The sequence below is a fragment of the Homo sapiens genome, chromosome 17 (genome assembly GCF_000001405.40).
Source record: "Homo sapiens chromosome 17, GRCh38.p14 Primary Assembly".
Lineage (NCBI taxonomy): Eukaryota > Metazoa > Chordata > Mammalia > Primates > Hominidae > Homo > Homo sapiens.
Window position 1 is genome coordinate 19,946,510 of NC_000017.11, and position 12,767 is coordinate 19,959,276.

The 12,767-nt window shown below is 42.3% G+C and overlaps 1 protein-coding gene across 5 annotated transcripts in view; it reads right to left on the reverse strand.

The window, feature by feature from the left end:
- Window positions 1-12,767, reverse strand: part of AKAP10 (A-kinase anchoring protein 10) — a 73,527-nt gene that overhangs the window by 42,208 nt on the left and 18,552 nt on the right. For all 5 annotated transcript variants that reach the window (XR_007065258.1, NM_001330152.2, NM_007202.4 and 2 more), the window contains exons 4-5: window positions 11,505-12,062; window positions 898-996 (exon numbers count right to left, since the gene is read on the reverse strand). Coding sequence is in view for 4 of the 5 variants with exons in the window: in NM_001330152.2 (NP_001317081.1) it covers window positions 898-996; window positions 11,505-12,062 (657 nt within the window). In the remaining variant the exon portion in view is untranslated. The remainder of the gene's footprint in view (window positions 1-897; window positions 997-11,504; window positions 12,063-12,767) is intronic.

Consider the following 12,767-nt stretch of genomic DNA (forward strand, 5'->3'; position numbering starts at 1 on the left):
AAGTTAAAATGAGTCTATCCATAAAAAGTGCTTGGAATATTGTCTGGGACACAGTGAGTGTTTAATAAATGTGTACTATTTATTGATCTTGCTGTCATTGTTATTCAGGTTAAAGCCTAAGAATTTGGGTCCAACATATAAGAAAAACTTTTTTTTTTTTTTTTTTTTTAAGGTTAGCAAATTGTCTTTATTCAGAAGAATAAAGTTACGTGAAACTGGGACTGGACATGAGGCTGCCCTCCTCCTTGCACCTCCAGCTGTGCCAAATGACACAGAAATGACACTGTGTGTGGCACAATCAACTGGCAAAAAAAGGCAAGTCACAGGCCATGTGATGGCTCTGGCTAATGCAGGTAGACATCCAGGGTGCCCAGGGACGTCAGGCCCACTGAGAAGTGGGATGAAGCCCTGAGACGGAGAGGCCACCACTGAGACACCTGTCTGGCCATCCAGTTGCCCACTGGTCGTGAGACTCTTGGGCTGCAGCCCTGATGCCTAGAGACTTTGGTACCGGCTTTTAGCCTCACTGGACTTCCAACCCCAGAAGTTTCTGTCCCGCCCACTTCGTGCACTGGTGCGGGGCTGCCGGCCAGTCCATCCGGTGGTCTGTGCCGGTTAGCGTAGCCGCCCGCCGGCCCGGCTGCTCAGCAGCGGGCAGGCCTGAGCACCCGCTACACTGCAGCCCATCTGGCCCAGGCAAAGACCCTCGCACCGAATGCAGCCGAGAAACTTTTAAAGTGAGCTATAATCCGATATAAAAAATACTCAGAAAACAAATTAGGAAGGGAACTGCTAAATTCCATGTTAAGAAAAAATTATCTTAGTCAATAACGAAAATTGTCAGTTCTGTGCATTTTTTGTCATTTTTTTTTTGCCATAGTTTCAAGCACTGCTTACCTATGATGTCATTTCTCATTGCTTCTGTAATTGGTATTGGTTTAGCAGCATCTGGAGATATATATTTGGTAAAAGTATTCACTGCATCTTGTTCTATACCTGCAAGGGAAGAAGAGAACTTCAAAAACCAAAAAGCAACTTGGACTCCAGTAATGAATTATATTCATGAATAGCAGGGCTTAGATCACTGTGAGTTCCTATTGCAAAATAAACTTCCATCACAAAGGTGCTTTTTCATTGTTTGGTTTGTGGAAGAGGAGAGTTACATGGGGGTGTTCAAAGCTATGGAAAATGCATATGATGAAAAAACTATGCATGAATTTCAAAGTACTTTTACACCAAAATAAACTCATATTAACCTGTTATAACGTATCTGAACAGGATCTACTCTGAGGCACTAAGAAGGAGAAAACATCAGTTTGAAGACAGCCCCTATTGGAGCAACATGAATTCTGCTAAAATGGAAGAATAAACATCAAATTTATGGTGAAGCTTGTGTGGATGAAAGATAAAATTATTGATGCTTTACCAAAAGTTTATGGGGACAATGCCTCAAAGGACAGAGTGAGACTCCGTCTCAAAAAAAAAAAAAAAGTCAAGTATTAATAATTATGACAGAAACCACCAAAGGCGGGTGTTAAAGTGTTATTTTCCTAATGTGCTTGCTAAAGGGAAAACAGCAAATTAATATAGAGAATATCATCCGTTGATTTGATATGAAATCCTAATAAGTATGTCAAGATGAAATAAGCACACTCTTCTGTCTCTCCCATGGAATGCAACTCAAAACAATGGACAAATGCATCCAAGGACTTGGAAGCAGGTGGACTGAGAAAAGTAATCAGAACTTGCAGTACCTCCGTACTCCTGACAAGTTTGTCCAGCACCTCCTGGCCTGGACTCAAAAGCTGAAACTGCACACCAGATGCACAAAGAAGAAGTTCCAAGACAGGCCCTCTATTTCTGGTCTGAGGAACAGGAAAGGGGGCTCTCACGGATCAAAGAGAGTGGAGGAAATCCCCTGGGTTGTTTTGTTTTGTTCCTTTCTCTCCTTCGACTCCCAGGCAGCATCAGAGCAGCCACAGCAGCAATGACAGCAGCTCCAAGAATCCTACTTTCTGACAAGAGAAACTGCAGTCCCAAGAAGAAGAAGTCGTGGCCACAGAGGTTGACATAGCTACAGGAAGTGTGCTGAAGTATAGGGAATCTAAAGCCCTGACTTTCTAGCCAGACAACAGGAAAGGGATAAAGGGAGGTTCTTAGAAGGCAGAACGTGTCAGGGACATCACAGAAAAGAAGGAGCCCATGAAAACGTCGAGTTGTATGTGCACTCCCGGGGCCACTCGTGAGCTGGGTGTGCATGGCCCTGCTTCTAAAAGTGTACAAAGGCTTTGGGACCTGACCATTGGCCAGGTCCCAGACTGGACACAGAAAGGCACATAAGCAGATAAGATACAAAACTGAACTGATGATGGAACCAGAGCCGACAGAATGCTGCTTAGAATTTGTGGACTGAACCTAACTAGGTCAACTGCTTGTTAAAGCAAAAACTTCAATATTTTCCACAGGATTTAAACAAGATTCAGAATCATGTAACGTAAGTCAAACTGTCCAAGATACAATCCAAAATTAATTGTCATATAAAGAACCAGAAAATCCCATTATCTCACAAGAGAAAAGACAATCAAGAGGACACATATGCTGGGATGATAAAACAAATTTTAAGTAGCTACTAAAACCATGCTCTAAGAAATAAGATCACTCCTGAAACAAATAAGAGTTTCAGGAGCAAAGTATAAGACATACACAAAAAAAGAAAATTTTAGAACTAAAAAACATAATAAACAAAATTTAAAATTCACTACAAAGACTCAATAACAGAATGGAAATAACGGGAAAGAACCAGTGAATTTGAAGACAGATGAATAGAAATTTTCGAAGCTGAACAACAGGAAAAAAAAATTTAAAGAAGTAAGGAAAGCCTCAGGAACCTGCCAAACAATAACAAAACTAACATTTGGGTTACTAAAATCCTAGAAGGAAAAGAGAAAAAGTGCAATGTCAAAAAAATATTTAAAGACTTAGCCGGGCGCGGTGGCTCACGCCTGTAATCCCAGCACTTTGGGAGGCTGAGGAGAGCGAATCACAAGGTCAAGAAATCGAGACCATCCTGGCCAACACAGTGAAACCGTCTCTACTAAAAATACAAAAATTAGCTGGGCATGGTGGCGCGCACCTGTAATCCCAGCTACTCAGTAGGCTGAGGCAGGAGAAACACTTGAACCCAGGAGGCGGAGGTTGCAGTGAGCCAAGATCACGCCACTGCACTCCAGCCTGGTAACAGAAAGAGAGACTCTGTCTCAAAAAAAAAAGAGAAAAAAAAAAAAAAACGGTGTTATTAAATCTTTATTACATTTCTTTTCTCTCTCTTTTTTAACCTCATCCCTAGTTCTATTTTTATGGTGGTTAAGTTTTCTACATTCCACTTGAAGTTACAAAATATTAAATGTGAGTACACTGTGAAAAGTATGTATATTGTAATTCCTAGAGAAGCCACTAAAAAGCCTACATAAAAAGATACAATCAAGAACTCAATATATAAATTCTAGAAAAAGGCAGGGCATGGTGGCTCACGCCTGTAATCCCAGCACTTTGGGAGGCCGAGGCAGGTGGATCACTTGAGGTCAAGAGTTCAAGACCAGCCTGGCCAATATGGTGAAACCCTGTCTCTACTAAAAATACAAAAAAATTAGCTGGGTGTAGTGGCACATGCCTGCAGTCCCAGCTACTTGGGAGCTGTGGCAGGAGAATCACTCAAAAAAATAAATAAATAAGTAAGATAAATAAATTTAAGGAAAAATTCAAATAATCCAAAAGAAAGCAAAAAAGGGGCTCTCCCTCGTCTCCCTCTCCCTCTCCCCGGTCTCCCTCTGATGCCACCAAAGTTGTGAAAGCCGAGGCTGGACTGTACTGCCGCCATCTCGGCTCACTGCAACCTCCCTGCCTGATTCTCCTGCCTCAGCCTGCAGAGTGCCTGGGATTGCAGGCGCACGCCGCCACACCTGACTGGTTTTTGCATTTTTTGGTGGAGACGGGGTTTCGCTGTGTTGGCCGGGCTGGTCTCCAGCTCCTGACCGCGAGTGATCTGCCTGCCTCGGCCTCCCGAGGTGCCAGGATTGCAGACGGAGTCTCGCTCACTCAATGCTCAATGTTGCCCAGGCTGGAGTGCAGTGGCGTGATCTCAGCTCCCTACAACCTCCACTTCCCAGCCGCCTGCCTTGGCCTCCCAAAGTGCCGAGATTGCAGCCTCTGCCCGGCCGCCACCCCGTCCGGGAAGTGAGGAGCGTCTCTGCCTAGCCGCCCATCGTCTGGGATGTGAGGAGCCCCTCTGACCGGCCGCCCCGTCTGGGAAGTGAGGAGCACCTCTTCCCGGCTGCCATCCCGTCTAGGAAGTGAGGAGTGTCTCTGCCCGGCAGCCCATCGTCTGAGATGTGGGGACCACCTCTGCCCCGCCGCCCCGTCTGGGATGGGAGGAGCGCCTCTGCCCGGCCGCGACCCCGTCTGGGAACTGAGGAGTGTCTCTGCCCGACCGCCACCCCATCTGGGAGGTGAGGAGCGTCTCTGCCCGGCCGCCCCGTCTGAGAAGTGAGGAGCCCCTCCGCCCGGCAGCCGCCCGGTCTGCGAAGTGAGGAGCCCCTCAGCCCGGCAGCCGCCCCGTCCGGGAGGGAGGTGGGGGGCAGCCCCCGCCCGGCCAGCCGCCCCATCTGGGAGGGAGGTGGGGGGTCAGCCCCCGCCCGGCCAGCCGCCCCGTCCGGGAGGGAGGTGGGGGGTCAGCCCCCGCCCGGCCAGCCGCCCCATCCGGGAGGGAGGTGGGGGGCGCCTCCGCCCGGCCACTGCCCCGTCTGGGAGGTGGGGGGCGCCTCTGCCCGGCTGCCCCATCTGGGAAGTGAGGAGCCCCTCTGCCCAGCTGCCACCCCGTCTGGGAGGTGTACCCAACAGCTCATTGAGAACGGGCCATGATGACGATGGCAGTTTTGTCGAATAGAAAAGGGGGAAATGTGGGGAAAAGAAAGAGAGATCAGATTGTTACTGTGTCTGTGTAGAAAGAAGTAGACATGGGAGACTCCATTTTGTTCTGTACTAAGAAAAATTCTTCTGCCTTGGGATGCTGTTAATCTATAACCTTACCCCCAACCCCCTGCTCTCTGAAACATGTGCTATTACCACTCAGGGTTAAATGGATTAAGGGTGGTGCAAGATGTGCTTTGTTAAACAGATGCTTGAAGGCAGCATGCTCGTTAAGAGTCATCACCACTCCCTAATCTCAAGTACCCAGGGACACAAACACTGCAGAAGGCCGCAGGGTCCTCTGTCTAGGAAAACCAGAGACCTTGTTCACATGTTTATCTGCTGACCTTCCCTCAACTATTGTCCTATGACCCTGCCAAATCCCCCTCTCCAAGAAACACCCAAGAATGATCAACAAATACTAAAAAAAAATAAGAATTAAAAAAAAAAAAAAAGCAAAAAAGGGGAAATCAAAGAGGGAGAAACAGAAAAACATATACTAAACTGGTAATCTAAATCCAAAGATATTAATATTATTATGAGTAATATAATTATATTAATACCAATAATTATATTTACACATTATAAATACCCCAGTGCAACAGTTACATTTAATGTAAATAATTATACTAAAATTTATATTAAAATAATTAAATTTACCAACAAAAACCCTGTATTGTGAGAAAAGATTAAAAATAACATGACTCAGCCGGGTGCAGTGGCTCACGCCTGTAATCCCAGCACTTTGGGAGGCCAAAGCAGGTGGATCACCTGAGGTCAGGAGTTCAAGACGAGCCTGGCTAACATGGTGAAAATCCGTTTCTACTAAAAATACAAAAAATCAGCCAGGCATGGTGCGCGTGCCTGTAATCCCAGCTACTTGGGAGGCTGAGGCAGGAGAATCACTGCAACCCAGGAGGTGGAGGTTGTGGTAAGCCAGGATTGCACCACTGCACTCCAGCTTGGGCAACAAGAGCAAAACTCTGTCTCAATAAATAAATAAATAAATAAATAAATAAATAAATAAATAACACTACCCAACTATATGCTGCCTACAAGAAGCCCCCTTTAAATAGAATTATAAAGGTAGATCAAAAGTAAAAAAATGGAAAAAGATATGCCATGCAAGCACTAATCAAATGAAAGCTGCAGTGTCTATATAAATTGGACAACAGATATTTCTGATCTTAGAACAAGGAAAATTACCATAAAGAGGGAATTACATAATGATAAAACAGGCAATTCACCCAGAAGATATCATCCTGAATGTGTACACACCTAACAACAGAGCCTCAAAATACATGAAGCAAAACCAGATAGAGCTGAAAGTAAAATTGGAAAAAAAAATTGTAGTTGGAAAGTTCAACACTCTTCTGAGTAATAAAGTGATATAACTGCATACAAAGTATCAGCAAGAATAAAGAAAAACTGAACACCATCATTAACCAACTAAATCAACTTGACATTTATAGAAAACTGTCCAAAAACAGAATGTACAATCTTTATACTGTATGTGGTATATTCACATTTTAAAAAATTTTTTAATGTTATTTTTAAAAATTAATAAATGAAATCATTCAAAATATATTCTCTGACCATAATATAATGAAATGAGAAATAAATGGTAGAAAAATAACAGGAAAAAAGTCTCCAATTGCTTGCAAACTAAATAACATATTTCTAAATAATTCATTGGTAAAAGAATAAGATTCAAGGGAAATTAGAACATTTCATTTGTGCTCAGTTCAAAATACCAGAATTTGTGGGGGTGTAACTAAAGCAGTGGTTAGAAGGAAATTTACAGTATTAAATGCTTATCTTAGAAAAGAAAGGTCTCAAACCAGAAATCTAAGTTTCTACTTTAAGCAACTTGGAGAAAAAAAAAAGAGTAAAATAAACCCAAAGCAAGCAGAAATAATAGAAAAGAAATAATAAAGAGCAGAAAATCAATAAAATTGAAAACAAAACAACAGAAAAATCAAAACAAAAGCTAGTTCTTTGAAAAGACTAATAAATCCCTATACAATCTGACAAAGAAAAACAAGACACAATTGCCAACACCAGGAATAAAAGAGGGATACCACTACAAACCCGAAATGCTATAAATAATTACACGCTCATAAATTTGACAATTCAATACAATTAATTACTCAAAGGCCATAAACTACAGTAAAAATTCACTCAAGAAGAAACAGATAACTTAAATAGTCCTATATCTATTAAATAATCTGAATTCATAGTTTAAAATACTCTGAAAAAGAAAACCCTAGGCCCCTGCCAGGCACGGTGGCTCACATCTATAATCCTAACACTTTGGGAGGCCAAGGTGGGCTAATCACTTGAGGTCACAAGTTCGAGACCAGCTTGGCTAACATGGTGAAACCCTGTCTGCATTAAAAATACAAAAATTAGTCGGGCATGGTGGCACACGCTTGTAATCCCAGCTATTTGGGAGGCTGAGGCAGGAGGATAACTTGAACCTGGGAGGCAGAGGTTGCAGTAAGCCAAGATCTCACCACTGCACTCCAACCTGGGTGACAGAAGTGAGACTCTGTCTCACACACAAAAAACAAAACCCTAGGCCCAGATGGCATCACTTCCCAATTCAACCAAATATCTAAAGAAGAAATGACACCAATTCTACACAATCTCTTCTAGAAAATGGAAATAAGAGTAAAAATAAAAACTTCCCAATTCGTTTTATAAGGCCAGCATTACCCAATTTTAAGACTTACTATACAGTAATTAAGACCATGTGGTATTAACAAAGGAATAGACACACACATCATGAAACAGAAAAAGGAGTCCAAAAACAGGCCTAGACAAATATGGCAAAAGTACAAAGGCAATTCAATGGAGTAAAGGTTGTCTTTTCAACAAATGGTATTAGAACAACTAGACATCCATATGTAAAAATAAACAAAAAACAAAAAATCTGACGTAACCCTCATACTTATACGACATTAACTCAAAAAAGATATATATCTAAACGTAAAGTGTAAAACCATAATACTTTTTTTTTTTTTTTGAGATGGAGTCTCACTGTGTTGCCCAGGCTGGAGTGCAGTGGCGCGATCTCGGCTCACTGCAAGCTCCACCTCCCGGGTTCACACTATTCTCCTGCCTCAACCTCTCAAGTAGCTGGGACTACAGGTGCCCGCCACCACGCCCGGCTAATTTTTTTTTTTTTTTGTATTTTTAGTAGAGATGGGGTTTCACCGCATTAGCCAGGATGGTCTCGATCTCCTGACCTCGTAATCTGCCCACCTCAGCTTCTCAAAGTGCTGAGATTACAGGCATAAGCCATGGCACCTGGCCAACCACAATACTTTTAAAAGGAAACATATGAGAAAATCTTCATGACCTTTGCTTAGGCAAAGGGCTCTTAGGTGTGACTCTGAAGGCACAATCCATACAAGAAAAAAATGACAAGTTGAATGTAAATTTAAAAAAAAAAAGTCCTGATTGGGCACAGTGGCTCACGCCTGTAATCCCAGCACTTTGGGAGGCCGAGGCAGGTGGATCACTTGAGGTCAAGAGTTTGAGACCAGCCTGGCCAACATGGTGAAACCCCATTTCTACTAAAAATACAAAAAAATCAGCCGGGTGTGGTGGTGCGTGCCTATAATCCCAGCTACTAGGGAGGCTAAGGCAGGAGAACTGCTTGAACCCAGGAGGCGGAGGTTGCAGTGAGCCGAGATTGCCTCACTGCACTCCAGCTCGGGCGACAGAGCAAGACGCTGTCTCAAAAAAAAAAATAAGAAAAAAAAAGAGAAAAGGCAAAGCTATTGAGACGGAGAAAGATCAGCGGTTGCCAAGTGTTGGGATAGAGGTGGGGCTTGACTTCAAAGGTGAAGGAACTAACTGTTCTTTACCCTTATAGTGGTGACAGTTACAGGAATCTATGTATGTGTTAAAACTGATACAAGTATACATTTTAAAAAGGTCAAACTTACTATATATAATATTTGAAGATAATGAAAAAGGGAAAAATGTAACTAATGCTCTTTTAATAACTCCACTGCTATTTCTATTTTTATTGAAAATTACCACTAAAGCAAAGACAGTTTCTAAAAACAATAAATGTATTACAATTACAGAAACATAATCCTAGCACTTTGGGAGGCTGAGGTGGGCAGATCACAAAGTCAGGAGTTCAAGACCAGCCTGGCCAACATGGCGAAACCCCATCTCTTCTAAAAATACAAAAATCAGCCAGGCATGGTGGTGGGCACCTGTAATCCCAGCTACTCAGGGGGCTGAGGCAAGAGAATCGCTTGAACCCGGGAGGTGGAGGTTGCAGTGAGCTGAGAGTACGTCATTGCACTCCAGCCTGGGTGACAGAGTGAGACTCCATCTCAAAAAAAAAACAATTACAGAAACAGACTTTGGACTTCCATTTCCAGAAACAGGTTAGAAACTCTTCCCAATACTGAATTCTCTCAAAATGTTTTTTAAAAAGGTGAGTTTGTGTTAAACTAAGGAAAATAGTGGGAGGCAGAAACAAATACAGGCAGTGCCCTTATCTTAAACATTTGGGGCCAGTAGTATTCTGGAATTCAGAATTTTGGAGTTTTACAGGGACAACACATTAAGTTTAACAGAGAGCATATTAATACTCCAGCACCATCTGGGACAATACCCCATAATCAAACACCATATTTCTACAGTAAGTATAAACCTGTACTCATACAGGATCAGTACGAGCACCCAAGACAAAAATTCAGTTTTAAGTGGTACCAGAAGGGTAGTGACCCAGGCCCCAGGTGCATGGCAAAAGAAAATGCAAAACACCTGAAGTAACTTAATTTATACAGAGTACACAGAGAATTCCCACAGACAAAAGTCCAAGAAACATGTTCACGGCCAAAAATCACTAAAATCACAAGCCACCAACAGTCTGAATCCGAAGAAACAAAGAAATGCTGAGTCAGGTCCACAAAAAACTGTAGATAGCAGAATTATCAGACAAATATACATTTAATAAAACTAAATAAATAAAAGATGGGATCAAAAGTGGGAATGAAGGGTGAAAGGAATAAGAAACTACAAAAAATGATCCATAGAAATAAAAAATTCAATAACTTTTTTTCTTTGTTTGAGCTGGGGTCTTGCTGTGTTGCCCAGGTTGGTCTCAAAACTCCTGGGCTCAAGCAATCTTCTCACCTTAAGCTTCCTGAGTAGCTGGGAGTACAAGTGTGTGCCACTTCTCCCAGCTTACAGTAACTTTGCGATGAAAATAACATGCCGTCAGGTGTGGTGATTCATGCCTGTAATCCCAGCACTTTGGGAGGCCGAGGCAGGTGGGTCACTTGAGGTCAGGAGTTCAAGATCAGCCTGACCAACATGGTGAAACCCCGTCTCTACTAAAATATAAAAATTAGCCAGGAGTGGTGGCGGGCGCCTGTAATCCCAGCTCCTCGGGAGCCTGGTTGAGGGAAGGAAGGAGGGAGGGAGGGAGGAAGGAAATAACATGCTGAAAACTTGATTCAGTAGCAGATTAGACCTCATTTTAGTTCACTGAGAATGAGTGAACTAAAAGATCTGAAGAAATCACTTAGCCCTTTAAGACACAAAGAACATTTAAGATGAAAAAGAACATGAAGGCTGTCTAATCAAAATCCCAGGTGATAATTAAGAGTATATAATTTCTAAACTAATAGAGAAGAAAAAAAAACAGGTGCTCTTGTCAAAATGCTTCTAGGTCCACATTTACTGTACAACCTAGAGGAAGTTACCTAACCTTTCTAAGCCCTGGTTTTCTCATGTGTAAATAAGATAATCAGTCCGGGCGCGGTGGCTCATGCCTGTAATCCCAGCACTTTGGGAGGCCGAGGCAGGCGGATCACAAAGTCAGGAGATCGAGACCATCCTGGCGAACATGGTGAAACCCCGTCTCTACTAAAAATACAAAAAAATTAGCCGGGTGTGGTGGCAGGCGCCTGTAGTCCCAGCTATTTGGGAGGCTGAGGCAGGAGAATGGCATGAACCCGGAGGTTGCAGTGAGCCGAGACCGCGCCATTGCACTCCAGCCTGGGCGACAGAGCAAGACTCCATCTCAAAAAAAAAAAGATAATCATGCCTACTACCTGCACAAAGGTCTTGTGACTAATAAATAAAATCCAAATATACACTAAGCACTGAACTTAATAAATGTCACTTATTGGCAATTTTTAAAAATTTTTTAAAAATTTTATCTGCAAAGTGCAGTAAAATATTAATAAAATTAAGACCGAGGGAGGAAATAAGGCTATGTGGATAATGGTTTGATGTCAAAATCAGTGGAGGGGAAAAGTAGGACATTTGACCCTTCATTTACTAATTCTGATAACACACTTCTTAGAAGGTCCAGTCACTCCTGCTCCTTTTCCATACACTGATCTGACTCTACTACACTCTCCAAATTCTCCCAAATTTACAAGTAGTTAGAGGAGAAAAAAAATATTCCAATCATTTTATTCCTCATCTGAAGTTCTGCTTAGTAAATTAAAAAAAGAAAGTGAGACACATATGTACACACAAGAAAATCACATACTCACTTTTCATTAGTTTTCCTGACAATTCTTTTAGTGGAGAAGCGGGACTATTTCTACTGGCTACTGTAAGTGTAGAGGAAGATTCTTGGGTTTCCATGGAAACTTGGTGAGTTCCTGCTCTGGCCATTTCAAGACGGAGAGAATGGGCACTGTCACATTCCTGGGAAAGCAGCAAGTGATTCTGAGTGCTGTTAGTTCTATTATTCAGGTCAATTCCTTCTGAATGAGTCATAAACAACTGTGCTGAGCCAGAATCCTCCAATCTCTTATCAAGAGAATCAGTTAAAAAAGACGCTGTAGTTTCATGCTTTTTAGATGGAGAGACAGGCTCAGCCAGTGAGCTCTGCTTCACTGTGTTTAGACTGTGTGCTCTTATTCGCGACCAAGTTGTTGAATGAAAACTTTCAGCCTCTAACCAAAATTTCACCAAATGCTCCATTCGCCGAAGTTCCATGAATTGAATGAAGTAAGGGAGGACAATAGTGTCGTGCAAGACTTGTTCAAGGGTCTTAGAAAGGCTTGATTTGGTCTCTTGAGTCTGGTAGTCCAGACAAGATCTGCCTAAAAGATAGAAGCAAAAGAATTAGCAGTTCAGCAACAAATAATTTCAGATTGACAGATTAGTCAATCACTTTTAGCAACAACTGGTACCAGAGACCTTGAATAAAGTTTACTTCCTAGCAACTAAAGTAAATAAAAAAACTACAAATACTATGCTTTTGGTTTCTAAACAAAGTACAATCGTCCAAAACTTGCCTAAATTATTAAAAAGTTATTTGTTACTCAATAATTCTCATATCTCTTTTAATGGCAATTCAGACCATGTAAATTCTTTTTTTTTTTTTTTTTTTTTTTTTTGAGACTTTTCACTCTTGTTGCCTAGGCTGGAGAGCAATGGCGCGATCTCGGCTCAATGCAACCAACCTCCACCTCCCGGGTTCAAGCGATTCTCTTGACTCAGCCTCCTAAGTAGCTGGGATTACAGGCACCCGCCACCACGCTGAGCTAGTTTTTGTACTTTTAGTAGAGATTCGGTTTCACCATGTTGGTCAGGATGGTCTCAAACTCCTGACCTTCGGCAATCCACCCACCTCGGCCTCCCAAAGTGCTGGGATTGCAGGCGTGAGCCACTGCGCCCAGCCCAGACTACATAAATTCTTAAGAAAAAAAACTTATGATACTAGTTCCAAAGGGGCCAATAAAAATATTAAAAACTATACTCAACCTCATTAAAAATCCCAGAAAAGCAAATTAACATAAAATGCA